Here is a 27,871-nt window from a genome sequence, read left to right on the forward strand (position 1 = left end):
TCTTTTCTGTTTTTCTCTCAGCTCAGGGCAATGCATCTCTGCAGTCAATTTATGCAAATGTGTATTGAGCACCTGTGTCTGCCAGCCCTGTTCTGGGCACTGGGGTTTCCTAGATGATTACAGCCTTCTTCCTGCCTGCAGGAGCATCCTGTCTGGCAGTGGAGAGGACGCAAAGGTAACAGCTACAACACCTGTCTTGAGGGTGTAATTGAGGGGACAGCACAAAGTGCAGAGGGATCTCAGATGGGTGAGCAACTGCTGTATGTGCCCAAATATAAGGTAATCCAAGTAAAGATTACAGGCAATCCCCATTCTCCCTATGAGAAGATGCACTTTCTTATTGAATAATATAAACTTAATGGGGTGAAGATGAAATAGACATCTACTTGAAATATTTCATTTATTACTTTAGTTATATAAACATATTTGCAATTATTCTCATAGAGAATACTAATATGGAAAGATTGCTTTTGGCAGTTTCAAATTTCAGGAAACAATTTGATTCTAATTCTTTTCTGTGTGGCTTTGACACTAGTGTCACCATCGTGTGTGTTGGGGGCAGCTTTTTACTAGAGCAGGTCCTACTCTCAGAGATCCAGAGGCTAACACACAGCCCTTTCGAATCCACATGTCAGGCAACTGCTGGGCACAGTGTCTCCACCGCAGGTCCAATCCGCATCACATTTTGACAGTAGGGATTCATTTGCTGCAGGTGAGTATTTGTGATCTGCACAACATGGCCACTTACTGAGGTACTCTGAAAGTGGCCTTTAAAAGGCCTGTTCACAACCTCTCACCCTTGCCGTCACAAAGTCATATTTGTTTGCATTGCCTTATCTGAGGAAAATTCCCTCAATTCCCTTTATAATATTGCTGACCTCCATATGCAACCCAATGTCACATAGATTAAAGGAGGATCAGCCAGGTGAGGTGGCTTAGGCCTGTAATCCCAGCACTTTGGGAGGCTGAGGTGGGGGAACCGCTTGAGGTCAGAAGTTTGAGACCAGCCTGGCCAACATGATGAAATCCCATCTCTACTAAAAATACAAAAATTAGCGGGGCGTGGTAGTGGGTGCCTGTAATCCCAGCTACTCAAGAGGCTGAGGCAGGAGAATTGCTTGAACTTGGTAGGCAGAGGTTGCAGTGAGCCAAGATTGTGCCATTCCACTCCAGCCTGGGTGACAGAGTGAGACTCTGTCTCAAAAAAAAAAAGAAAAAAAAAAAGGATCACGCTAACGGACCTTTCTCAAACAGAACTTTGGGGTTAAAAATTAAGTCACTGGGCGAGCACCTGTAATATGAGAAATTAGTAACTCAAATGCAAGGCAATCTTATGTTCAGACATATGACGTCAGGGGGGAGTGGGGAATCAAGGTTTCCCGGAAGTGGAAGCTTGGAGCTGGCCTTAAAGACCCTAGAACCCTCTGGGATGGGTCATGTACTGTAAGCAGAAGGCACCGGAGATGCAGAAGGCTGTCTCCTGAATACCCCGCTTTTATTCGCATAGCTTCAGGCTAGCTTTGCCCTGTACCATTGGAAGATCTTGGGCACCTCTCTTCCACTCTCAGAGCCTCAATTTCCCTATCTGTGAAATGGAAGTAATAATACATATTTCATAAAGTCTCAAGGGATACAAGAGCATGAAAAATAGAATTGAAAAAAACAGCTCATTTGGAATCGGGTCTTCTTGGGGAAGTCATTGCACTTCCTGGGCCTCAGCGTTCCAGCCTGTGAAATGGAGCTCGAGAAGGGCACAGCTGCACTTCCCACTGAGTGTGGTCCAGGTGCCTGAATGAGGAATGCCTGTTACTGCCTCTGCCAGGAACACTCTACCTATCTCTTCTCATGGCCGACGCCTTCTAGTCCATCAGATGGAGCTTATGTGCCCCCACCCCAGATTCTCCCTATGCCCCCAAACAATGTCATCTCCTCACTCTACTGGGATCTGTTTTATTTTCTTCCTGGCTTTGATTATTATATAATGTGATCGTAATTGCTTGTTATTTCTATCTTCAGCATGCCATCTCCAGGGCAGTGGGGACCTTGTCTGTATCTACCCGGCCCAGCACAGTGCCTGGTGCATAGACTGTGCTCAATAAATATTTTAGTGAATGAGCGAATAAATTAATGAATGTGGGTTCCCTCTTCCCAATCTTTGGACACTGGGTTTCTTCTATTCCTCGGTACCTGGCCTAGGGGATAGAAAAGACTCCACCCAAACCCGGGAACCCTGGGTGTACTGTCTCCAAGCCCTTTACATGGTCCCAGGGGCCCGTCTGCCTCTGTGTAAGTTCCCCCGGGGCCGAAGCACTCTCCAAAGAGGTCTGCCGGGGCTAGGACTCGGCCGGCTGGGGCCCCGCGCCTGGAAGAGGGCCTGGCACACAGTGGGCCTTCTCAAAGTGTTAGAACAAATGGGTGACAGGCCAGCAGACTGCCGATCCTGGCACCCGAGGGCACCCAGCTGCCCTGCGCGCCTTCCCGGCCCGGGCGCGGGAGCGGCGAGGGCGGGAGGCTTGGCTGTGCTTCTCCCGCCGCCTGGTGCAAACTTTCAAAAGATGCGGCGGCCGCGGCCCCGCCCCTGCACTGTTGGAGGCGGTGGGAGGCGGGGGCGGAGCCGGCGGGCCCGGGCCGGTGGCTCCGCCTCCTCCTCCCGCAGGCGCCGCCGCCGCCTCCCTCCCGGCTCCCGCCCCAGCTGCCGCCCGCCGGCTCGCCCGTGCAGCTGCGATGCCCCGGAGCGTCGACCCCGGTCCTGGTCCCTGGCCCGCCGCGTAATTAGCCTCCGCGCGCCCAGAGCGCGCCGCCGCCAACGCCGCGCCCGACGCAGCGATGGGCAACACGGTGCACCGGACCCTGCCAGGTACGCCGGGGAGCCCTGCCCGGGAGGCGGGCGCCGGGCTTCTCTCCTCCGGGGGACCCGCTGGGTGACTCTGGAGAGCTACCCCACGGCCCTTGGAGCCCTCGGCTCGCAGCGGGCTGGAGTCTCCGGTACCTCCCGGACCTCAGCTCGGCGCGCGCCCCGCGGCTGGGCTTTGCGCCCCGGGAGGGCGGGTACCGCGTCCTGGTTACCTTGGGGACCCCAGTCCTCATTCTCCCGGCTTTGGCCAGATGCGCAAAAAGGGCCGCTGGGGCGATGCCGCGCGCCCCCTCGCCTTTGTTCCAGCCCGAGGGCGCTGATGAGCAAACTCAAGGCGACCTGGGTGGGGGTGACTGGAGCCGGGCTCGCCAGGGCTTCCGACGGTCAGAAGCCACCCGTGGTGCCAAGACTGCAGCTGCCGAGAGTGAGGGGTGCTCTCAGGGGCACCCCAGTTTCCAGCCTCCCAGCGCCCCCGCGGCACATGCTGCCGTGCTTTGGCCACGTTCCCACGCGCACCCCGGTTGCGCCCCCCTCTGGTGTCCGCTCCACTGGGGACTCCTTCGCCCCCTCGGAGTCGCTGCTGCAGATCGCATCGCCCCCTAGTTAAAATCGCCCCAGAATTTCTGGGACCGGAGTGAGGGGATCCGGAGCAGGTTAACGGGGTAGGAGGAGGCCTTACTGGAAAATACATGGTAATTGTGGGAACAGATCAGCGGTCCCGCGCCCGCGCGTGCCCGTGGAGGTTCAGTGCCCAGCACTTTGCATACCCCAGCTCGGTATGCAAAGAAGCTTCGCGATAAAGATGTGTATCCCAGTTTTACAAATAAAAAAATTGAGTGTCAGAAGAGGTGAAATGACTCACCCAAGGTCACACAGCTAGTAGTGGGAGAATCTGGAGTGGGACCTGTGTCTCTCTGCCCTCCCTCCCCTCACACGCCCAAGTATTTAGAAGTATTTTGTCTTAAGGCTGGGCCTTTGTAGCATCCTTTGGGCAAAAGGTGAGAGGAGTGTGTGTGTGTCTAAAGCACAAAGGCTCGGCTCAATGGGGAAGCAAGTCAGCTGTGAGGTTAATTTAGTGTGAGGTTCTGGAAGAGGGACATATCACCCCATCTCTGCTATAACACTCCCATATAGCTCTCCCTTCTAGGCATTACATGCTCTTAAAGAATAATTTCCCCTGGAGCGGGTTGAAGTGGACAGTGCTGAGCCCAGGATTCCCAGGGTCAGCTTATGGAAGAGGAGCCAACTCCTACTTTACAAGCCTCTGAGCAACTGCACTCAAACGTTCAAATTCCCAGAGAGCTGTAATCATCAGCAGAGTCACCAGCTAGTCAGTGGCAGAGGTGGGATTAGAACCCAGGTCTGCTTACTGGAGGGTGGCCTCTACCTCCTGTGGACAGGGCTATTGCCAGGTTGGGGGAGAACCCACCCGCGGGTCAGGAGATATCTGGGGATGTTGGCAAATAGGGCAGCAGATATTCTCGCCACATAGACACTGGGATGAGGCACCTCGGCACAGGCCCCTTTCCTTGGTTTCTTAATTTAAAAATGTTTATACTATTCTAGTAAAAAGCCATTCTGCCACCTGTGGGTCAGCCCTGGGGTGCGTAAAGGGACAGACACACGCCAGGCAGGCTAAATATAGCTAGAGATTTATGTATTCTCCATCCCTCTCAACTCTCTCTCTGTGGACTGGGCCACCCTAGTCTGGGAGCCGGCAGTTAAGGTTGGTTACCCACTGCAGTGTCTAAGTATGGGGAATTCAGACTCTTCTCTGGGGATTGAAGCTTGCACTGAGTTTGAGGAAGGGGTCAGAACCGGAATTCCTGAGTCACATCGGGTGGCAGATGCCAAGAATATGAAGGGCCGTTAATTGTTTTCCGACCTACCAGTATGAGTTTCTTGCACACCCTGTGCTGTTTTTTGTACCTCTGTGCTTGGCATGTGATGGTCCCCATGCATGGATTGTCCTTTCTTGTCTAGTCTGCCTTTCAAAATCCAGTTGTCGTTACCTCCTCCAGGAAGCTTTCCCTGACCACCCACAGTCTCATCCTTTGCTCTGCTATCTGGATGCCTGAAGTCCTTTCCTGCTCATCGTTGCAATGACTGCATTGTCACTGCCTGTCTCTGTGACTCTTTGCGGTTCCCTGAGGACAGAGCCCTTGTCTTGATCATCTTGTATCCCTGGTTGCCCATCCCAGAGACTGGTGCCTGGCAAGGGCTCAAAAACTGGTGGTGGAGCTCGAATGTTGCCTGAATCTTAGGCTGAAGGAACACTTGGCACAGTCTTGCCCTGTAGAATCCTTGTGCTTTCGTTCTCAGGAAAAGGACACATGCGTGGGGTTCTTTCTGCGGGACTTGAAATAGAGAGCTGGCATTTGCTGAGCACCTGGATTCCATGCCAGGCTTCCTGCATATGTGGCTTCATTTACACGCCAAGCATGCTTCTCCTCAAGGCTTCTGCACTTCCTGATCCCTCTCCCCGGCACATTCTTCTGCCCTCCTCCCCATGGCTCCCACCAGGCTTCCTTGGGGTCTCTGCTTGAACGAGGGGCCTGCTGTTGCCCCAACCCCACTCACTCCTTTGACCCAGCTTTAAGTTTCTCCTTAGCACGTGTCACTATGCGACACGCTGTATGTGTAGTTAGCAGTTTCTTGTCTGTCTCCCCCAGGGAGATTTTGTCTGTTTTATTCACTGCTATACGTTTAGCACCTGGAGCAGTGGCTAGTACAGAGTAAATGTTCAGTAAGTACGTGTTGGATGGGATGAATGGATGAATTTAATTCTTCTAACATCCCTGCAATGTAGGCATTATCATCTCCATATTACAGTTGAGAAGCCGAGGCTCAGAGAGGTAAAGTGGCTTGTCCCAGCTCACACAGTTCACCTAGTTGGCAGAACTGGGATTGCAATTTAGGTTAACTTAGCTCCAAAGTCCTGCATTCTTATTCTGACATGCTGTGGCCTCCCAGCCCGTGATTTAGATAACATTTATTGGGTTCCCCACCATGCACGTGGCATGCTACACTATACAATAAGGAAATGCCAAAGAAAGGGAAGGTTGTTTATGATCGATTGCGGAAGCCTCTTGGCAGCTCTTGCAAAGTGCATCAGCATATTCAGAGAAATGCCCTTTAAACAGAACGTGCAGCACAGGACCTCACATCTACTAAGCTCCTACTGTGTGCTCTACACTCTCTTTCCAGTTGCAACTCAACCCTGCAAAGTAAGGTGCCATTCTCCACCATTTTAAAGAGATTAAGACACTTTGCATACAGTTAGGCAGTGGCAAAGCTGGGCTTAAAAGACTGAGACCTGTCTGACTCCTCATACCATGTAGTCCTTCTCTCTCGAGTCCGTTAGCCTTCATCTGGGTATTTGAAGGGAGAAAAAAAGTGTAAGCAGGTGGGGATAGGGGAGGGCAGCGTTCCAGGATGAGAGTGAGGGGAGGTGGAGGGAGGGACTCATCCCCTTCTCCTAACAGCACATTCCAATCCCTTCCTTCTCGCCTCTTGGGCTCACCTGCAGCTCTGGTTGGAGAATACACTAAATTCAAACAACAGGTTGGGTTTCATCATTAAGTTGGCCCACGCTTGACCGAACCAACAGCTTTTTCGTATTAGCTCAATAACCGGGCATCCTGGAGCTTTGGAGTGAGGAAAGTGTGTTGATCCCGCTCTATATCAAGCCCTTGGTCAAGGGCTTTACCCACAGTATCTATTTGAAATCCTCATAACAACCCTTTAGAGGGACTATATTTATCCCCATTTTACAGGGCAGCAAGTGGAGGCTCAGAGAGGTCAAGGACACAGAGTAAGGGGAGAAGCAGCCTCCCCTAACCTACGTGGACAGTCTGTAAGTGCTGCATCCAGACAAAGAAGCACTCGCTTACCCCAGACAGTCTGACATCCTCCCTTGCAGAGCCCTTTTCTCTTTTTGGCCCAGATAAGGGGCCATGTGGATGCTGAGCCTAGCCGGGACACATCTGCTGCTCCCTGACTTCCCATCTGAGCCATGGGTGGTGTTGCTCCCAGGGCCTGGCAGCCACTGTTTTCCCTGGATCTGGACTTTCTCAGCTCTTGGGAGGACAGCGACCCTTGTCACCCTCCTTCCAGCCATGGCAATACTGCATGGATGGCCCATGGAGTGATATTGCCTCTTCTCTTTCTACCTCTCCTCCCCCTTCCCCAGGCACAACTTCACGTTCACTTGGGCTTTACCTTGCTTGTCTTGTCCCATCTTCCTCCCTTCCACCAGGTCATTAAGAACCACCTCTATCAGTGATTCTGTAGAATCAGAATCGCTTGCTACCCTCAGGAGCTGGCCCTAGTGGAAGGGGCCAACATGCTGTAACAGAACGGGACACCCAGTTGGTCACATCACTAAAGAGCACAAGTTACTGCTACCCTGTGACTCAGAGAGGGAAAGTCAGCACCCAACACTCCACGCAAGGCCTGGCCACCAGACCATGTGGTCTCTCCACCGTGGGTTGTGACCAGCTGTAAAAAAAATCTTTAATGACATAGAATTTTAAAAATCTGGTGCATTTATGTAGTAAGAGTATTTTTGCTTCATAAACTTTTGTTTCAGTTGCGCATGCGGGTGTGTGTGAGATGTGTGTTTTGTGTGTTGCCATGTAAAATGCATTTCTTTCCCTGGGACACAGCGGGAGCCGTTGAGAGTTGGAAGGCCCCTGGCCTACAGCAGTGCAAGGCTGGTGTTATGGTGTTAGACTCAGATCTTAGAGTCAAGCTGCCTGGGTTCAAATTTCAGCTCGGCCAGTTCCCAATGGCATGACCTCTCTGTGCCTCAGTTTCCTCACAGGGAGACTAGGGGTAGCTCCTTCACGGTTGGTGGGGGTGGGAATTACATGGAATAGAGAAAGTGAGTGTTCAACAAATGCCCAGGATGGTAGCCATCATGGTTCTGGGAAGAGAGGCCTCGGGCCTGCTCCTAGAGTCCCGGCACGGGGCTGGCTGACAGGTGCCCTTCACTCCTTGCCTTGAAAACCCTGCCCCAGGTGACCACAAGCCTCAAACCAAGGGGCTGAAGATGGGGAGGCACCCCTTTCCTGTCTACTGTCAGCAGTTCCCAAGGGTTCCTTGGGCTCTTTCCTGAACACCTGATTTCTGCTAAGAAGGATATGCCTGGTGGGTTGCATTTACAGTTCTCCTGCAGGGGAACACAGCCTGGGTTTAAGGACTCAAGTTCTAGCAGGAGAGACCGACAAAGACACAGCAGTTACAGTACGCGGTCGGCAGGGAAGCTCAGGGAGTTGTGAGAGCCCAGAAGATGCAGGGGAGGCTTCCTGGAGGAGGTGCGCTCTGTCTAGCTGAGCCCGTAAAGAAGAGACATCAGCTAGGAGAAGGGAGTGAGAAAGGCTGTTCAGGGCACCATGTGCAAAGGCCTGAGGGAGGGGGAGCAGCACAGGTGTGGGGGGCTGTGGAGTTCTGAGGACCCCAGTGCAAATGGGGGTGGGATGTGAGGTCACAGCAGTGGGAAAGTCTGGAGGCGGGGGCCGGGGGTAAGAGGAGGCTTCTTGTAGGCCAGGCTGCAGTCAGGAGGCTTGGATTTCTCAGCTGCCACACTCCCAACCGGGATAATGTGCTGTGTTTGCCAGCAGGGGCGTAGCATTTTCCCTGGGCTGGACCTCAAGGGCCGCTCAGAACAGGCTGTTTAATCTCCCCCATGGAGAAGAGTCAGCTCTGCCTCTCTTTTGGACCAAAGGGCTTTCTGTACTTATGGTGCTCTCTGAGGGCTTAAAATAGAAGCCCAGAGGCCAGGTGTGTGGTTAGAGCTTAGAGCAGAGAGGGAAGAGGGAGGGCGCCAGGTCGCAGCCCGACAGGTAGCACACGCTCACCTGGGCAGTGTCGCGGGGTGGTCCGAGCTTCTGCACACCTGCCCTGCACTAGGCCCTTTATTCCATCCCATTGAAGCCGTCATGAGAGCCTTGCGAGGCAGTCTTCTCATGTCACAGAAGGGGAAACTGAGGCTCAGAGGGGTAGTGAGACCTGCCCGGCCCAGGTGGCCAGGAAGTGGCAGAGTGAATTGGATCCCAGGCACGCTGGGCTCCACACCCCTTCCCCTCCATCCCACGGGGCACTGCACCCTGGGGCCTCTTGCGGCTCCTCTTGCTGACTTGCTGCTGCCCCTTGTCCTCGTCCTGAGCACCTGAGCCCCACCCTTATTGCAGGTGCACTCCCTTTGCCCTCTGAAGATGAATTACTTCTGTCCACAGCCGCCAAAATGAAGCTGTGCCTAGAGAAGCCCCCTGCCCCCGCCCACCTCACCCCAGGCCTGTAGACTCTGGAACTCAAAAGCTGGATGTGGCCTCTGGGAATCTTGCCTGAGAGGAGACGGGGTGAGCTTGAGTTCTGTGCTCCTTCTTCCTGCCCAACTAGGACTCAGGCTCCTGACTCATCTGCCTGGTAAAAACTGGCCCATGCTGACACCCCCAGCCCCCAATGGCAAGCATCACAGTGCTCCCAATACCTTCCCTGGGCCCAGGGTCCTCACAGGCCCTTCCCCCATCCCGGACTTCCAGGCAGCCCCCACCAGTCAGTGAGCAAGGGCCCAGGTGAGGGTGAGAGCCCTTTGTCATCCAGGGCCCGCGTCTGTCCTGCAGGTGAGAAGTGTCCTGTCCCCATGCTGTGCCCCCAGCAGCAGCAGATTAACCGCACAGGCTGGAGTCCTTCCTTCTCGGGTCTGAGTCTGGGCCTCGCCCCTTTTTAGCCAGACAAGTGACGTAACCTCTCTAAGCCTTGGTTTCCTCTTCTACAGAAAGGGGAGAATGATGTTACCTCTCAGGCATGCCAAGTGTCCAGCAGGTACTAAGTGTTCACACGTAGCACCTGCTAGGATTATGTATTCACTGGGAGATGAGCCCCTCCTCCACACTGATCTTAGGATTGGGTGCTCTCAAGGGAGACAGACACAAAAGAATAACCACTAACTTGTATCACGTAACCACTAACTTGTATCACGTAGCCCGTCTGTGCCAGACAGTGTTCTCAGCAGGTACGTCCATGTCTATCAGGACAAGCCCTGGGAGATGGCTCCTATTATTAGTGCCCCAACTCTTGGGAGAACGTAGGCACAGAGAGGGAAGGTAACTTTCCCAGGGAACACAGCTCAAGCAGTCCAACATGATTCCAGCTAGAGGGAAGGAACGTCAGTGTGGAAGGGAATGTTGGGTCAGGGTGGAGGGTTCCCATGGAGGACATTTCCCATTTGCACTGGAAGCCTTCATTGTATTTGGCAGAACTCTGTAAGCATTTAGAAATCTTGGCAGGTTCATTTTTAATTGCTCACCTAGTTCTTTTACTTTTCTTTGTCTCACATCGCACCTCTAGGCATGGCAGGGTGGGGGCCCTCTCCAGGCAGCCTGTGGGTTCACCATGGGGATTCCCAGCAGATAGTCCCCAAGGTCTGGTGTGCAGATCTCCAACTCCCTGCCCAGGCAGGTCAGGGGAGAGCTGATGCCCTGAGGGCTTTCTGGGCAGCAAATCAAAGGCCATGCCATCCCCAGGGAAGCAAAGACTCTCCAGCAGCATAGTCTGCGGGGGCTGTGGTGGCCTGAGAGCTGCCTGCAGACCTGAAGGGGAAGTGCATGGTGGACCCAATGCAGACATGACCAGTGTGTAGACATCAAAGGAGAGCAGATTCCAATTCAACCAAAGGAGGAACTAACTGTGGGAACTGTCTGGAGCTGGACAGCGGGGAGAACGTGCCTGTCACTGGAGTACACAGGTAATTAGTCAAACTGGGACTTGACATGGTTCTTGCAGAGGCCCTGGAGTATCCAATGCATCTCAGATGAATTATCCACGAAGACGCCTTTTGACCCTGGGGTCTTCCAGGGAATGCCTTCCAGCGCCCATCTGCCGAACTCCTGCAAAGCCCTTCACTTCTTTTTTTTTTTTTTTTTTTTTTTTTTTTTTTTTTGAGACAGAGTCTTGCTCTGTTGCCCAGGCTGGAGTGCAGTGGTGCAATCTTGGCTCACTGCAACCTTTGCCTCCCGGGTTCAAGCAACTCTCCTGCCTCAGCCTCCCAAGTAGCTGAGACTATAGGCACCCACTGCCACACCCGGCTAAATTTTGTATTTTTAGTAGAGATGGGTTTTCACCATGTTGGTCAGGCTGGCCTTGAACTCCTGACCTCAGGTAATCTGCCCACCTGGGCCTCCCAAAGTGCTGGGATTACAGGTGTGAGCCACCACTCCTGCCTGGCACCCTTCACATCTTTCACTTAGTCCCCCTTTCAGTTCTGCATGGCAGAGGGTTTAGCCCCACTTTATAGATCAGGACATATAAGGCACAGGACGGTGACGTCACCTGCCTCAGCCCAGTTCTCATACCTCCCTGTGTCCACCCAGCCTCAGAACTTTCAGATAGCGGCAGGTGTTTCTGAGCAGAGTTTGGGACAGCCATCCCAGGACCACAGACCCAGCAAACTCATCCCTTCTTCTCCTTTCATCTTATTACCAGGACTCAGGGCCACCCAGAGCTGGCCGCTAGCCTCACTTCTAGGCAAGGGGGGGAAAGTTCTTTAATGACTAAGCCATTTGGGGAAATGGGTGGGGTCGAGGTGTCTTGGGCAGTATTGGCACTTGGCAGAATGCCCACAGCTATTAAACAGTGTATTTTGTTTACATCCTCAACATTACACATTGTTTATATCACAATTGCATCCCTCAGGCACGTATTTTCTTTCCTTTTGCTACAAGGATGGATTTATGAGATGGGTCTGCGCTGTACTCCGTGTCTCCATTGCCAGGTCTGCCTGGTAACTTTCCAGTCCAAACAAGCAGATCTCCATGTCTCAGAAAAGCTTCCCTTCCCTTAAAGTTTGGTCCATTCAAGGGCAGGAGATGGCAGAGTGGAATTTCCATGTCTCTGCAGGAACTTCAGCCCTGCAGATAGGTCACTCAGGGGCTCTGTTCTCAGGACCAGAGGGTGCTCAGAATCCCTGTCCCAGCTCCCACGTGGCAGATGGGGATACTGAGGACCAGAGCCTGGCACAAGGTCACCAGGTGATTACAAATGGGGTCTTTCGCTGGAATCTCAAGAAAGGTGGCGGAAAGAGGGTGGGTTTGGAGGCAGTCCCAAGTTTGAATCTCAGTTCCACTGTCTCTAAGCTGTATGATCCTGGGCAAGTCTGTTCCTCCCTGAGCTGTGTTATACACAAAGTTTTGGTGCCGCAAAAGGAATAGCACTCAAATATACATTTTCTTAATGCTCAGCAAGGCAAGTTACTTCTATAGAAGGGTATGCCCTTACAGATGGAGCAATGGTGAGCGCACACTTGGACAAGGGAGGGGAAGGGGTTCGTATCCCTGACGCACGTGACCCCTGCTGCTGTGTTGTTCCCCTATTGGCTAGGATTAGACCGCACAGGCTAAACTAATTCCGATTGGCTAATTTAAAGAGAATGATGGGGTGAGTGCTTTGGCGGGAGTCAGGGCAGAGCAGGTAGCAGGTAATCGGAATGAGTTAGGGTGGAGCAGGTGATCAGAATGATGGAGCAGATAATCTGAATGAGTTAGAGTGGAGCAGGTGATCAGAATGAGTTAGGATGGAGCCTATGATCGGAATGAGTCAGGGTGGAGTAGATAATCGAAAAAGGTTGCTTTACGAGGAAGTTTAAAAGTAGAAGGCAAAGCATTGAACATACTGACATATTAATTATTTGAAAAGAAATTTAGAACTCATATCTAACAACTCCCCTTGTATTTCCTTACAGCTTTCTTTTCAAACTTTTTTTAACATGTCTTGGCTTAGTTGTTCTGCTTGATTTTCCAAAAGCAGTAGCTTCTCTGGATAAGGTGGAGGATAGTTAAGTGAGGTTTTAGTAAGTGCTGTTTTTATGAGCCTTTGCATCAACTTACAGATACATGGTATGACATAGCACCTGACAAGAATAAGTGCACCTATCATGGCTGCGAGGGAAATAAGAATTGAGGGTATTATTCCTTTCCATTTACTGAATTACTTTTTTAGCCATCCTATAAAGGGGTCATTTACCCGAGTTGCTGGCTAACTCATTGGATAGAGCAGTCAGACCTTGCAATGCCTTTGTTATACTTCCATTAGGGGCGGTGTTGTTTGGGATGAAGGTGCAACATTGAGTTTTAATCATGACGCAAACTCTTCCTCTTTCTGCTAGTATGTCTAAGGCTATCCTATTTTCCCAAGCCATCTGGCTAGTAGCCCCATTTGTTCAGCTATTTCTTTAACAGCATCTCCAGCGTAGTTAATAAATCGCTGTTGGTTGTAATAGATGTAGTTTATCCAATCTACATTTTTATTAACTGTCACCCACCAAAATATTGACTCAAATCCTGCAGCTATTTGATTTCAGGCTTTAAATTGATCTGGTATTCCCCATGGGACTCCAATTGCATCTAAATAGACGTGAGAGTCAAAAGACCTGTAAGGGCTTCTCTTGCTTTATGATGTCTTGTTTTTCCTCCCACTGGTTGATGAAATGCCAGGGTGAAAGGGATAGCCAACTGGACTAAAACACAAGTGCCACTCCAGTTATTCGGCGGAGTGTCCAGTAAAGGTCCACCACAATACCACCATACATCCGCTCTGGGATGAACAAGGGCTGACTTATTGGTAAGCTCTTGAAAGTTCTTAAGCTCACTGCATCCCTTCAGGTCTCCAAGGAAGGCTAAGTTTCTTCCCTGTCATGAGAGACACGAAGTGAACTTAGTGTTGGGAGATGGAAGCTGGATGGCCCTCGGGGGCTGACCCGCAGGGTGCTGGACTTGGGGATATAGCAGAGAGAGAGCTTGGCACCACTTATTACTTCAGGCTGTAGAATCCTGGAAAAGAGCTACCATGCAGGCCACACCTGGTCGACTGGAAGACCACCTTAGTGGAAAGGTGACAATTTGGGCCTCTGGCCTGCCATGTACACAAGCATAACAATTGCTTTTGTTTAACGTGCAGACGGAATATTTGATCCATTCCAACCAGGCATTTGCATCTTGGTATTCTGTCTAATTGCCAATGTTTGTTTTAACTCTTTAACTTCTATGATCCTCTAGCAAAATGAATGTATGGTTTTTAGGAAATTACAGAAACCGGTTGGGGCAGTCCATCCTTGCTGTTTAGTGGTCCACAGAACGTTGGACCAACTACGGCATAAAAGCTCTACATCAGGGGGCAAGACTCCTAGTTGACACTGGGGTCTTTATCGAAATCTTCCCAGATTAAATGGTCCTAATTTACTAATGCCCAGTCTGAAGAAAGTCAGGAGGGATAGAGGTACTTTTCTGAAGCAGAGAGCTGTCTTTGACTTGGCAAGTCCCCACAGGGTATAACAAGGCAAGCATTAAATGCAATAGTTTGAGGTGAAATTGACTTGGTTTTGTTAATAACTAGATGGTCAGCAATAGAGCGAGGAAGAAGAAAGAGTAATAGAATCAAGAGTTTAGCTTTAGTCTGGAAGGGTTTTCCCCTGGGACTATGGCCCACGACTCTGGAGGGGGTGGTGCTTTCTTGACTCAGATGTGATGAGTCCATCCCTTTTTCACTGTACAAACAGCAGTCTTGGTGGTTAGCAGCACAAGGTAGGGTCCTTCCCAGGCTGGCTTGAGTTTTCCTTCTTTCCATCCTTTGATGAGAACGTGATCGCCAGGTTGGTGCTGCTTTACTGGAAATTCTAGGAGTGGTACATGTGCTAAAACACTTAGTTTTGAGGGAAAGGTAAGTGGGAGATAAACCAAGTATATAATTTCTAAGAAATTGACCTTTGTTTTAAATGTGGGGACGTCAGCAGTGGACTTTATAGTGCTTGGTGCCTTCTTACTGAGAAACTTCCTTTAGCACCTGTTTTTTTTAGTTTTTAGACTGAAGAAATCCAAACACCATTTTATATTTGACAATGCTTCCAGTATGATTTTTATACCAGATAAGCTAAATTTCACCTTTATATTAGTGTGTCAATGTTAAACTTAGTTTTAATAAAACTTTGTAGACATTTAATTTTTAATGTCTGACCATAAGGTAAAATGTTTATAGACTCTTTTTAACCTTTTATAATTTTTGTTAAAGAGCAGGTTAGTGCTTTAAGAAAAACCCGTCATGTTATTTTAATGTCCAGTTCACAGAAAAACTGGATGATACCCTTTTAACTTTAGCCAATATGTTTACACACAGAATTTCCTTTACAATTTAACGTTTTAAAACTTGCTTAAACCTTCAAAACAAAAAAAATTTTAACCTTTTAATGTAGGTAAAAATCCACATTCTTATGCCTCTTTATAATCCTTTTACTAAAAGTATATTTTACTTTCCTTATACACCTTGCACATAAACTTTTTTCAATAGTTTTACATTCAGGAGGCCTAATTACTTTTAAATTATACAACATTTCTTGCGTAAATTCCCTTTTATAACACATTTTTTTTTCTTTCACGACTTTCAGACAATTCTTCAACATGCCTCAACTTTCTGACTTACTGCAAACATCTCTTTCTTTAAACAACCAGTTATTTTAGGACAATAATTTACCATATAACATACTTTTTACATAAATTCTCCCCCAACTTTTTTTTTCCCCTAAAGATGATAACCATTCTTTTCCAAAGTGAACTTCCTTCATGTCTGTGGACTAGACTGCCTAAGGCCATAAGATTAGAAGTTAGGATAATACATTTTACACTGTTAACTTTTAGCAAATTTTACTTTTATTGAAAACCTTGTAAGTTTGGGATTTCAATTATCCTTTGCTGTTAATAAAACCTTGTTCATTCCAAATTAACTTAGAATTGGTATAGATGGTTCCTTCCCGGTTCTGTAAGTACTTTAAGGCTTGGCTGAGTGGAAACAGCTCGCACTTTGAGCAGACCAATTATTAGGCAATTTTCCTAACTCTGCTTTTACAAGAGTTTCCTTATCAATTACTGAACACCTATTGTGTCTTTTTCCCTCAATCACCTGGGAGGAACCATCTATCGTCCAGTCCTGAAGGGAGCTCCTCCTAGGTCTGGTGAGACCTTTGCGTGGTAATTAATTAAGACTTAGATCCCCTGTTAGGAAACCTGGTGGGTTAAGGGAATTATCAGTGGTTAATGTTAAATCATCTAACAGAATAGCCCCATACTTTAAGATTTTTGAGTTAAACTATTTTTTTTTTTTTTTTTTTTTACTTAGGATAGTTCTGAACTGGTGAGGTGTGCTCACAATGAGGTTTCCTCTAAAAGTTATTTTTCTACTTTTTTCTGTTAGCAAAGCCGTTGCCACTACAGATTGAATGTATTTGGGCCATCCGCAGGGTACTGGGTTAGGGATTTTTGATAGGAAGGCTATGGGTTGTCAGTGGCCTCAGTGCTTTTGGGCTACACCCTTGTTTACACTGACAACAAAGTGGTATTGGAGTGTTATAGGGTCACGGAGAAGACCTTTAATTATCAATTATAGGTTCTAAATTTACCTTGGCTTTTAAAGGAATAGGGTACACTGGTTTTTTCTTAACTACTTGTATATCTCTCCCTTTCTCTTTGACTTTGTCTCTGTTTGACTCCCTCTTTGTCTTTCTGTCTCTTCTCTCTCTTTCCCCTCTCTCTTTTTCTCTCCTCTCTCTCTGCTGGTCTTTCCTTGCCTCTGCCAGCCACTTAGGCTGCTGTTCTCCCCTCTCCTTCCTCTTCACCTAGGGAAGGGACCGGAGGGAGTGGAGCTGCTCTTTCTTCCCCCAAGAAGAAAGTGGGGGGGTTGTGTGAGGTTCAACCCTTGAAATCAGCAGAAGGCTCAACCCCTCAAACCAGGGATGTCTCGCCTTGCCTGTCCCGGAAGTCTCAACCCCTCAAACCAGGGGGTGTCTTGCCTTGCCTGCCCTGGAAGGCTCAACCCCTCAAACCAGGGGGTGTCTTGCCTTCCTCGTCCTGGGAGGTTGACCTGTTTCCCTCCTTTCCCCCTCTGAAGGTCCTTTGCACACTTCCCACTTGTGCTGTCCTCTCTGGCTGCTCCCTAAGGGAGAATTAGGCCCCTCTTAGTGTTGGTGTGCTGGTATAAATCCTACGGCAGGATCCACCCTAAACCATATGAGGTAGCTACAGAACCACGGAGAGGACCCACTCACTCCGTCCAGCAGTAGGACTTGTACCATCCACACACAACACCACCAGCAGGGTGGTCATTCACGCACACACACATTTAGCCCTCCAGAATTTGATCACCAAGGAAGTATTTTACCGGCTTCCACGGCTGCTGCTTCCTTGGTCTATGCACAGTTGTTGCTGCAGTATGTGAGGATCCTTTAAGCTAGGTTGCTGGCCAGTGTTTGTTTTTTTTTTTTTTTCCCTCTGCATTGCTGAGAGCTCAGGTTATTCCTCACACTGGGTGGGTCTTGTTTCTAACCCTTGAGGCTGCCACAATAGGGCGGGGTGCACCTCCTCACAAGAACCAGAGACCGCCCCCTGAGGGGAATATAATCACGGGCGAGCCCCCAAATTGTTATATATAAAGTTTCGGTGCCGCAAAAGGAATAGCACTCAAATATAACATTTTCTTTTTAATTCTCAGCAAGGCAAGTTACTTCATAGAAGGGTACATCCTTACAGATGGAGCAATGATGAGTGCACACTTGGACGAGGGGAAGGGGTTCTTATCCCTGACGCATGTGGCCCCTGCTGCTGTGTCGTTCCCCTATTGGCTAGGATTAGACTGTGCAGGTTAAACTAATTCTGACTGGCTAATTTAAAGAGAATGACGGGGTGAGTGCTTTGGCGGGAGTCAGGGCAGAGCAGGTAGCAGGTAATCATAATGAGTTAGGGTAGAGCAGGTGACCAGAATGAGTTAGGGTGAAGCAGGTAATCGGAACGAATTAGAGTGGAGCGGGTGATCAGAATGAGTTAGGGTGGAGGAGATAATCGAAAAAGGTTGCTTTACTAGGAAGTTAAGTTTATTTTTTATTTATTTATTTATTTTTACAAAAGTTTATTCTTAAATGTACAACAGCTCCAAGACAACACTTAATTCCAGCTATACGTGGCAAAAGATGTTATGGCAGGGAATAGAGAGGTTTAAATACAGATGAAATAAAGGGTCACCATCTCCTCAGGCACAAGGAACAGCTTACTTTTTGCCAGATTTCTTAATTCCACCTATGGCCAAGAGCCCCTTCCCCGCGGCCTTCGCTTTTAGCTCCTCGAGTTTCTTCTGCTCCTCTTTTTGTTTCTGCTTGAAAGCCTTATCTTCCTCGTCCATCTCCTTGGCCTACTTCTTGGGCTGTTTCAGTGGCTTCTTCTTGCCACCTTCGCGGCCGGACATGGCGCCTGCCGCCGCTTCCCCAGAAGTTAAGTTTAAAAGTAGAAGGCAAAGAATTGAACACACTGACATATTAATTCTTTGAAAATAAATTTAAAACTCCTAACAACCGCCATGTCCTCATCTTTAGGATGGGGATAATGACAGTCCCTCCCTCCCTCATGGGGCTGCGATGATGAATAAATAGGAGATTCTAGGTGAAGTCCAAATCCAGCACAAGCTGGGAACTCTGTTAAGTGGCCATTACCTTTTTTCCTTGGAGGCAAGGGATCTGTGCTCCCAAAATTGATCTGTGCAGTAGGACCAAATAGTCCTGCTATAGACTATTTGAGTCAGTCCCTCACGTCCCCATGATGGATGACTGGTTGGCTAGGGAAGCAATTCTGCATGATAACCAACAGCATGCATGGGCTTTGGATTCAGACCTGAGTCGAATCCTCACCGTGCTGTTTATCTGCCTCATGAACTTGTGCCAGCCCCTTACCCTCTCTGGGCCTAATGTCCCTATATGTGAAATGGGCTCACAGGGCTATAGAGAGGACCAGTGAACCAAGGACTGTCAGATCGCCAGAACTTAGGACACATGGGATGGAGATTCTAATCAGGGCTCCTGTGGGTGGAGGATTACCCAGGTGCCGAGGCAAGAGACTGAAGGCACAAACTGTTTCAGTATAATAAAGAAAATGGTTAGAATAAGAATAGTCATAATACAAATTAGATATAGAGATGATCATGGACAATTATCAATCATTATTATAAACATTATTAATCATTAGCTTTTAATATTACTCTTTGTTGCATTACTAATATAACCTAGGAATAACCGGTGGGTATAGGGTCAGGTGCTGAAGGGACATTGGGAGAAGTGACCTAGAAGGCAAGAGGTGAGTCTTCTGTCACGCCCGCATAAGGGTTGCTTGAGGGCTCCTTGGTCAAGTGGTAACGCCGGTGTCTGGGAAGGCACCTGTTACTTAGCCGACCACGAAAGGGAGTCTCCTTTCCTTGGAGGAGTCAGGGCACACTCTGCTCCACCAGCTTCTTGTGGAAGGCTGGATATTATCCAGGCCTGCCCGCAGTCATCCGGAGGCCTAAACCCCTCCCTGTGGTGCTGTGCTTCAATGGGCACACTCCTCGTCCACTTTCATGTTCCTCCCATACTCCTGGTTCCTCTTTGAAGTTCGTAGTAGATAGTGGTAGAAGGAATAGGGAAAATCTTAAAGTGTTTGATCTTTCTTATAAGTGCATAGAAGAAAACGCTGACATATGCTGCCTTCTCTGTCTGCTTCAGCTACCTAAGAGGGAAGGGCCCCCTGTCCAGTGATCACGTGACTTGCTTCACCTTGTCAATCACTTAGAAGATTCACCCTCCTTACCCTGCCCCCTTGTCTTGTATGCAATAAATATCAGTGCACCCAGCCTTTCGGGGCCACTTACCGGTCTCCACGTCTTGGTGGTAGTGGTCCCCCGGGCCCAGCTGTTTTCTCTTTATCTCTTTGTCTTGTGTCTTATTTATTACAATCTCTCGTCTCCGCACACAGGGAGAACACCCGCTAAGCTCCGTAGGGCTGGACCCTACAGGCTCCAGAGCATGCCTTCCAAGCACGTAGCCCTTTACCTCTTGGGGAAGGGAGCAGAAGTCCATGCGGGCTTCCTGCAGGCATCCTCAGTCCACACTTACCTGCTCTCATGAGGCTTTCAGGCGTTTGGGGGAAGCCCTGCGTGGTGAGTGAGGGGGAGAGAGAAGAGAAGGCTGCATCTCCAGAGAAGGACGAGACACGCATCAGAGTCACTTCCTGGGGGGCCTCAGAGCCGAGTGTGGCTGGGAAGATGACATTAGCTGACCTACCTTGTGTCAGGCACTGTGTTGACCTCCTTCCCTGCAGGGATGACTTCTGCACTTTGCCGTCAGGAGCCATAGCATCTTTGTCATAGCCTTGGGAGCCAGGCTGGTATGAGTTCAAACACCCATGCCACAATTCCTGGTCATGGGCAGCTCACCCAATCTCTCAGAGCCGCCCTCCTCCCTGGGAGGGGGTCTGGTAGCCATCACCTCCTCCATCACCGTCAGGAGGTTCCTGCAAGGTCCTATGGGTGGGGGGCCATTGTCCCCTGGGAGGTCTGCCTCTCCCATCAGGCCCTACCCCCAATTCTTTTTCAGGCCTCAGGGACACTCAGCCCTGGGGCTCCGTCCCCCTGCTGTAATCAGTCACTTTCTTCCTTTTGTAGATGCTTTGCTTATTGTTCGTCCCCAAGTTCCGCCAAACTGTGGCCTCTGAGGAGCTCAAAACAAGCTGATTGATGACATCCACCACCACCCCTGCCCGCCCCCCCCCCCCCAAAGCTTCCTTCCTGAGACCAAGCCAGGGTATTGCTCACCCTCTGTGCCAGAAGGTGGATTAAGCTACTTATACGTAGTCTAGCTTTTTTCTTGTAGGTCAGGATGTAAGTGAGAGACCTTGGGACCAGCAAACATTTTGCCCAGCTGTTGGGGTGTGAAGAACATTTCTTCAGTCCAGGAGCAAGAACAGTGTTGCTCCAGGGGAACTTGGGCCAGTGGGTCTATTGTGCCAAAAATGCTGACCTTCAGGCCCCGCAGGTGCTCTCCTGGGGCTGAAGTTGGGAGCAGCCAGGCTTCTGGGCACCACCCAGGCTGGGGGAGTGGCTGTCCTCAAGGCAAAGAGAAGGAGAAACGGTAGGCCTGGCAACCTCAGCCAGCTTATCACTGGGCAGCTGCCAGGGGCTGCCAGGAGGAGAAGCAGGCGCTGAGGGGCAGGACCATGTCAGCCGTTGGAAGAGACATTCAAAACCTGGACTGTTTTCTTACTCCTGCCACGCTGGGTCACTTTGACTGGCATGGAAGAAAGGAAGGCCCAGGGTTTCAATCTCATTTTTCAGAGAGGTGGATCCACAGGAGTTTTTCTTCCCTGATCCCAACCCTTCAGCAGCCCCCAGAACCTTCTGGAGGACTTTAACCTCCCCTGCATGGCCTTTAAGACCCTTTGTGATACTGCCCCTGACTCCCACTCCACCCTCCCCTCTCCCTTCTGGCCTGTACTCCTCACAGTTCCCCAGTGCTCTCAGCTGATTCTCATCTCCAGGCCTTTGCTGGTGCTGTTCCCTCTGCCTGAAACACACTTCCCCATCCTTTGTCATCCTCCCAGCCCTGCTTCCTCAGTCTGCAAAGCAGCTCCCCTGAGAAGCTGTCGCCACTGCCCCAGCCCTCCCTGGCCACCACCCTGTGCAGTCATGGGGTCTGCTTATGTCCATCCTTGCAGCTGGTCTCAGCTCGAGGGGGCGGGGACAGTGTGTGACTTGTCAGTGCATGTACCCGGCAGCCAGCGCGGGCCCTGGCCCAGAGCAGATGCTCTGTAAATGTCAGATGAAGGAGGAAGTGATGTACTCGAGAAGGAATGAGGGCACATTCCCCCCACCTCTCACTGCAGTGGGGCCCTAGCCCTGGGAGCCGGCGCCTCTGAAGTTGGAGTTTCCTGGGTCCCTTTATCAAGAAGAGACCACAGTCAGGGGGCCCGGCAGAGGGTCGGAGTCAGCTTGGGAATCCCAGCCCTGGCTGAGCATGCTTTGAGGGGGCGTCGGGATGACCTCACCCCCTGGGAACTCTCGCATCAGAGCCCACTCAAGCTGAGAGGTCTGCCACTTAGGCCTGGATGGAGTGAGCTTTTCTCCCCACAAGCAGCATTGCGACCTCTGGCCTCTCTGGGATGTCCTTGCAGCTGTTGACGGGGTTTTGTTTGCAAAGCAAAGGGAGCAGAGTGGCAGTTACCAGCGCGGGCTGGCCCTTTTCCCTTGGGGATGCTGGCCAACCAGGCCTCTGAAAAAGGGAACAAAGTCCAGTAAGCTGGTGTCTGTCTCCTGAGTGCCTGTCACTGCCCCATTTGGCAGAGGTGAGGAAGGGTTGGTTATGTTTTTTCTTTTCTCTTTATTTTTTTTGAGATGTAGTCTCCCTCTGTCGCCCAGGCTGGAGTGCAGTGGTGCGATCTCAGCACACTGCAACCTCCGCCTCCTGGGTTCAAGTGATTCTCCTGCCTCAGCCTCCAAGTAGCTGGGATTACAGATGCCCGCCACTACACCCGACTAATGTTTGTATTTTTAGCAAAGGCAGGGTTTCACCATGTTGGTCTCGAACTCCTGACCTCAGGTGATCTGTCCACCTCGGCCTTACAAAGTGCCGAGATTACAGGCGTGAGCCACCGTGCCCAGCCTGGTTATGTTTTTTTCCAGCCCACTTTTAAACCCACCAATGGAAAATGGAACTTTGTTGGCAAAGGTGACTGATATCTTGGCCCCTCTGGATATGGCGGGAAGCCTTGCTAAATACCAGCCTTGCCTTTTCCTCTCTCTAGAGCACAGCCTGCCCCCCTCACCCCAACACACATGAGCACCATGTTGCTTCCTACTGCCAACAGTGCTGGTTTACATTTTGGACTGGGGCAAATGTCATTTGAACCAGAGATTTCTCACTCAAGGTCTACAGTCCAAGGACGCATGTTATAAAGGTCCAGGTCCAGGAAGCCCCTGAAGTTGAATATCAGATTGTGCATGGAGTCTGGGTATGTTTCTGGGGGGAAACCCTGAAGTTGAATATCAGATTGTGCATGGAGTCTGGGTATGTTTCTGGCGGGGAAGCCTCTATAGATTTTATTGCTTCTAACAAGGTCCATGAACCATTCCCCACGCCCCGCCAACCCAAAAGTTATGGCAGCTGCCTTGAAGAAGGGGTGGGGTGGAAGAAAGGGCATGAGCCTGGTCCTCTCAGACCCTCAGTTTCCTCATCTGGGAAATCAAGGTGGTAAAACCCACTCTGCAGAGTTTTCCTGAAGATTAAACCCAATAAACCAAGACATGTACCCACTACATAGCAGAGGCCCAGTGAAACTCCAGTGTAATCCTCATGTTCAAAGGAAGAGGCAGAATAGACGATTCTCCCATTTGGCAATTCCCTTTCCTGGTGGAGAGGAATCTGCTGAAAACCTCAGCCAGCATGCCATCTGCGGAACTCCAGCAGGCTGGAAGCCGGCGTCTCGGGGCCAGAGTATCGGGAGCTGTTGCTTCCTGCCATCCTCCTGACGGTAACTGCCATTTCCTTGGGCTCTTTTTAGATCAAAGGAAGGGCTAGGCTGGAGAGATGAGTGGGGACCATTCAGGGGATGGCACAAGGCGCATTTAGGACGCCTGCTGGCATAGTTTAAAAATAGGCTTCTGTCCTTGGACACCAAGGGGAAGCAACCCCAGGGTTTTCAAGAGGCCTCTGCTGGCCAAGGTTATGAGCCCTACACGGGAGAAAAATGTTTCAGAACGTATTTTCCCAGCTGCCACAGGTAGGTATCTCTGACCCAGGAATAAACCTTTCCTAGTCAAAGGAACTAAATAAGGTGGTTAAAGGAGGAGATCAAGTGTTTAATGAGCACCTACTACATGCCACACACTGTGTGTCTGATGAGTTTGCTTTGTGTCATCCTCACAACAACCTTGCAGGGTAGAGATGATTTTTCCTACTTTTCTAGGTTGTTGGGGGCTGGGGCAGGGGGAACAGAGAAGTTAAGTACGGACCTCAAGATCACACGGACCGCAAGATCACACAGCTAATAAATAAGCAAAACCAGAATTTAAACCCAGGTCTGACTCCAAGCCTGTGCTCTTTTTAACCACCTCTCAAACTGTGATGTAGAAATAAAAAGCATGAAAGAGATGGAGGTGAGGGGCTTACCCAGTGGTTGGACTTGTTATTTCCCATGGGGAAGGGAAGGGAATAGCTGTTTATTTAACATCTACTATGTGCCAGGACTTCTGCCGGGATTTTTCTATGCTCTCATTGCCCCTGCCAGCAGCCTGAGACAGGGGTCTAAGGTCACGTGCCATTTAGACATGACAAAACTGCAGTTCTGGGAGGTACAGTGACTTGCTCAAGGCTCTCAGACAAATCAGTAGCAAAGCACAGGCTTTCATCCAGAGCCCATGAAGTAAATCTCAGAGCCACCCAGGAAGCAGTTCTTATGTTGACCGGCCTTCCAGAAAGACTTGCCAAGGCTGGGCAGTGGTGACCCTGACAGCCAGAGTTCCCTCCTCCCTAACCACCCACAGACACTCATCACCCACCCTCCAAATCTCTGCCATGCATTTCGAGTCTGGGCACTGTTTCCTTGACTAACTGCTGGAAAGACACTGCCCTCTAGTCTTGGTGGGGCTGGAGCAGCCTGTGATTAACCATGGGGGTTAGGCTGGGCATGGTGGCTCATGCCTGTAATCCCAGTACTTTGGGAAGCTGAGGTGGGTGGATTGCTTGAGCCCAGGAGTTCGAGACCAGCCCCAGCAACCCTGACTCTACAAATAATAATAATAGCCGGGTGTGGTGGCACACACCTGTCGTCCTAGCTACTTGGGAGGCTGAGGTGGGAGAATCACTTGAGCCCGGGAGTTTGAGGCTGCAGTGAGCTGTGATCATGCCACTGTACTCAGCCTGGGAGACAGAGCAAGACTCTGCCTCAAGAAAAAACTTAAAAAGCCATGGGATTGACCAGGTGCAGTGGCTCACGCCTGCAATCCCAGCACTTTGGGAGGCTGAGGCAGGTGGATCACAAGGTCAGGAGTTCGAAACCAGCCTGGCCAATATGGTGAAACCCTGTCTCTACTAAAAATACAAAAATTAGCCAGGTGTGGTGGCGGGCGCCTGTAGTCCCAGCTACTCAGGAGGCTGAGGCAGGAGAATCGCTCGAACCCGGGAGGCGGATGTTGCAGTGAGCCAAGATCACACCACTGCACTCCAGCCTGGGGGACAGAGGAAGACTCCATCTCAAAAAAAAAAAAAAAAAAAAAAGCCATGGGATTTGGGCCAGGGCTGTCCCTTCTCCCTTCTATGAACGAGAAGGGCAACTGCAAAGGTCTCCACTGAGTCCCCACCTCACAGAAACCGCACCTCCCCCACTTCTTCTTAGAGTCCCTGGCCTCAATTCTTGGTCAGAAGTGGGGGGCACGGCTCACTGGCTGGGGCCAGCACCCACCCAAGGCCAGCAGGGCCTTGGTCTTTCATGGGAGGATGGCCCAGGGGATTTAGTCGCTGGCGTGGTTTGGGGACCTCTTCCTGGCAAAAGAGGTTTTATTTGTTTATTATTATTATTATTATTATTATTATTTACCAGTGACAGGGTATCTGTATGAGTCTGGTCCTGGTGCCAGAAGCTAAGGATCTCTGCACCCGCAGACTTGGCCATTTTGGGGGAATGGCTGTAGTGACTGCCAGGAGGCGAAGGGTGGGGGACATTTGGCCCTCGATGGAATATTCTGCAGCCATGAAACAAGCAGAGAAGGCTTGGGAGCGATGTGGGGAAATGCTTTCGATGTAATGTTGAATTAGAAAACAAAAAGCAGGACACAAAATTGTCTGTGCACTCTGATGGTAAGAAAGTTAGGAAACTACTTATATTACTGAGTACTTCAGTGGTACTTATGGAAGAAAGTTAGGACAGGGGGAAAAAGCACGGGCTTGAGGTCAGACAGGCTGGGGTCATATCTCAACGCTGCCCCCTTGCAGCTTCAGGGAAGTGTCTTTGCTGCCTAGAGCCTTGTTTTCTCCTGGAAAAATGGAGACACCAATCCTGTAGGTGAAGCTTTGTTTTAAGAATTAGCTGGTATCATGTGTCAAAAAAAATCCAGCACAGCCATGGTACATCGTGAGGGCACAGCCCACAGTTCTCATGTGGGATCAGGACTGGGACAATGAAAAATGCAGAGACAGGGAGCAAAAGTTGGGAGAGGCAGCGGGTGGGGGGGACGGGTAGATTTTTCTCCTCTTTTCTGAACTTTCTATGATGTGGCTGTTGTGTTTGTTGCAGCAATTTCAATGATAAAGTTCAGGTTTGCCACTGACATCTCCAAACTAGGATGATCCGCAGGGCCCTTGGAGTCCACCCTCCACATTTTTCTGTTTCTTATAGGAACCACTTGCCCTGAACCCAGCTAAAAGCAGATGCTGGTGTACTATTTGAGATTGCTTATTGTTTTTCTTTTATTTTAAGCATCTTCCATTTGTGTAAATAACACATCCTCTTAGAAACTTTTTAACTCTAGTTTTCTTTATCTCACGTCAGCGCTGTGGTCTTGGGGAGGAAAAAAATAAAGACTGTTTATCTCTTATTCCCTGAAGGAAGTCAGATCATATAATCAAGATTAAACAAATATGTAAACTTCGCTGGTTACTTGGCCGCATTTTATCCTAACATATAGTTGGTTTTGCAGGAAGCTTCCCCTATAGAAACAAGGCAGTACTTCTCTCCACCCCAGTATTCATTTAAATTGCAGGCCGCTCTTAAAGAACATCTCTTGGGATTCCCAAGCCCTTCTGTAAAGAAACTCTCTGACTGAGAGATGAGGTCGGAAAACAACAGTGATGGGGAGGGGAGATAAAAATAATCAAATAAGGGTGGCCATGGACGCTGGTGCTCAGAAGGGCTTTTGATATGTGGTCATATTTAATGTTTCCTGGAGGATTTGCCAGCTGGAGGGGGCCTTGGCCTGCTGGGCACTGGGGGAAGCTGCACCAGGAGCTGAGTGTCGTGCACAAGGCCACCGTGAGCGTGGACAGCACAGGCTTCTGCTGTCCCTGAGCTATCTCTGCCGATGGTCTGCACCCGGGTGCTGTTTCCCCTGCTCACTTGGGATTTGTCCATTCCTCTTAACCTCGTGGTTCTAGAGATGGCCCACAGCCTGACTCTGCGTCCACCCTCCTTGCTGCCCTGGAGGCCCCTCCCTGACAGGCAGTGCAGGTGTGGCCGTGGCCCTGCTTTGCCAAAAGCCCTGTAGCGGCTCCCTCTTGCCCATGCAGTGCGTTCTGAGCCTCTTGGGCTGGCATTCAGGGCCTTCCCACCTGGTTCCTGCGGTGTCTGCAGCACCCTCGCCCTCACCTCTACAAGGCAGTGACTGCCCAACCTGGCACACCCCCTGCCACACCTACCGTATCACTTTACCCTCCCCCCAAATTCCAGCCTCCCCCTGCCTCTGCCCCTACCGTTCCCCTCTGCTCCCTCTCCTCCCTCGAGACCTGGCTCAGTGGGCATCCCACTATTCCCAGCCCCTAACTGAGTCCAGGGCCTCCTCCAGGCCCCTAGTCCCCCCGGTGCCATCGCCTGAGATGGTCTTTATCACGCCTGTTGTCGTTGGGCATTCAGCTGTGTGTCTGCTTGACCTGGAGAGACTCAGATCTCCACGAAGGCAGGATGTGTGTGATCTGCAGAAAGAATAACTGGATGAAGAAATGAATGAGCAGTGGAATGAACGTTTTGTCTGCTGCCTGTGCCAGTCCAGTGCCTGGCAAGTCTGCCCAGGGGTGAAGGAGGTCAACAGGCAGCCTCTTGCCTCCCTCTCCTACCTTAGGGGTCTATGGCTCAGCCCTTCTATCCATCTTGTGTTGGTTTTTAAAAGGCAGAGAGACTATGGTAAAATGGTAAAAAACAAACAACAACCACCACCACCACCACCAAAAAAAAACAGAGCTGGGATCACACACACCTGGCTTCAATCCCTGGTTTCATCTCTGCCCTTAACTAAACCAGCTGTGTGACTTTGGGCAAGTGACTGAACTCTCTGAAACTCCATTTCGTCATGCATGCTGGGGATGGCTAACAGTAGTCCTTACCTCACAGAGACACTACGAGGATTAAATGATGAAATGCATGGCACATGACCAACCTAGAGTAAGTGTCTGAATGTGCGGTGATTCTATCAGTCAGG

At 50.1% G+C, this 27,871-nt stretch overlaps 1 protein-coding gene, 1 non-coding gene and 1 pseudogene across 4 annotated transcripts in view, besides 3 other annotated features; 2 read left to right on the forward strand and 1 right to left on the reverse strand.

Moving 5' to 3' along the window:
* Positions 2,445–2,734: a silencer, noted in NCBI's record as "silent region_16623". NCBI's record gives its function as "represses an Ori minimal core promoter by ATAC-STARR-seq in GM12878 lymphoblastoid cells {active_cell/tissue: GM12878}" and the evidence as "EXISTENCE:reporter gene assay evidence [ECO:0000049][PMID:35858748]".
* The window catches only part of NEURL1B (neuralized E3 ubiquitin protein ligase 1B), a 50,278-nt gene continuing 25,089 nt past the window's right edge, over positions 2,683–27,871 (forward strand). For all 3 annotated transcript variants that reach the window (NM_001142651.3, NM_001308178.2, NM_001308177.2), the window contains exon 1: positions 2,683–2,857. In NM_001142651.3, coding sequence (NP_001136123.1) covers positions 2,827–2,857 — 31 coding nt within the window. In that variant the 5' untranslated portion in view covers positions 2,683–2,826. The remainder of the gene's footprint in view (positions 2,858–27,871) is intronic.
* On the reverse strand, positions 17,779–18,157 carry LOC100130394 (translation machinery associated 7 homolog (S. cerevisiae) pseudogene; annotated as a pseudogene).
* Positions 20,235–21,229: an enhancer, noted in NCBI's record as "H3K27ac-H3K4me1 hESC enhancer chr5:172085818-172086812 (GRCh37/hg19 assembly coordinates)". NCBI's record gives its function as "activates a minimal SCP1, AML or CMV promoter by ChIP-STARR-seq in naive H9 embryonic stem cells {active_cell/tissue: H9 hESC(naive)}" and the evidence as "EXISTENCE:reporter gene assay evidence [ECO:0000049][PMID:30033119]".
* Positions 21,525–21,614: an enhancer, noted in NCBI's record as "active region_23639". NCBI's record gives its function as "activates an Ori minimal core promoter by ATAC-STARR-seq in GM12878 lymphoblastoid cells {active_cell/tissue: GM12878}" and the evidence as "EXISTENCE:reporter gene assay evidence [ECO:0000049][PMID:35858748]".
* Positions 23,585–23,683, forward strand: MIR5003 (microRNA 5003). The gene has a single exon (NR_049799.1). It is a non-coding gene; the product is annotated as a microRNA 5003 (primary transcript).

This window comes from Homo sapiens, chromosome 5, assembly GCF_000001405.40.
Source record: "Homo sapiens chromosome 5, GRCh38.p14 Primary Assembly".
Taxonomy (NCBI): domain Eukaryota; kingdom Metazoa; phylum Chordata; class Mammalia; order Primates; family Hominidae; genus Homo; species Homo sapiens.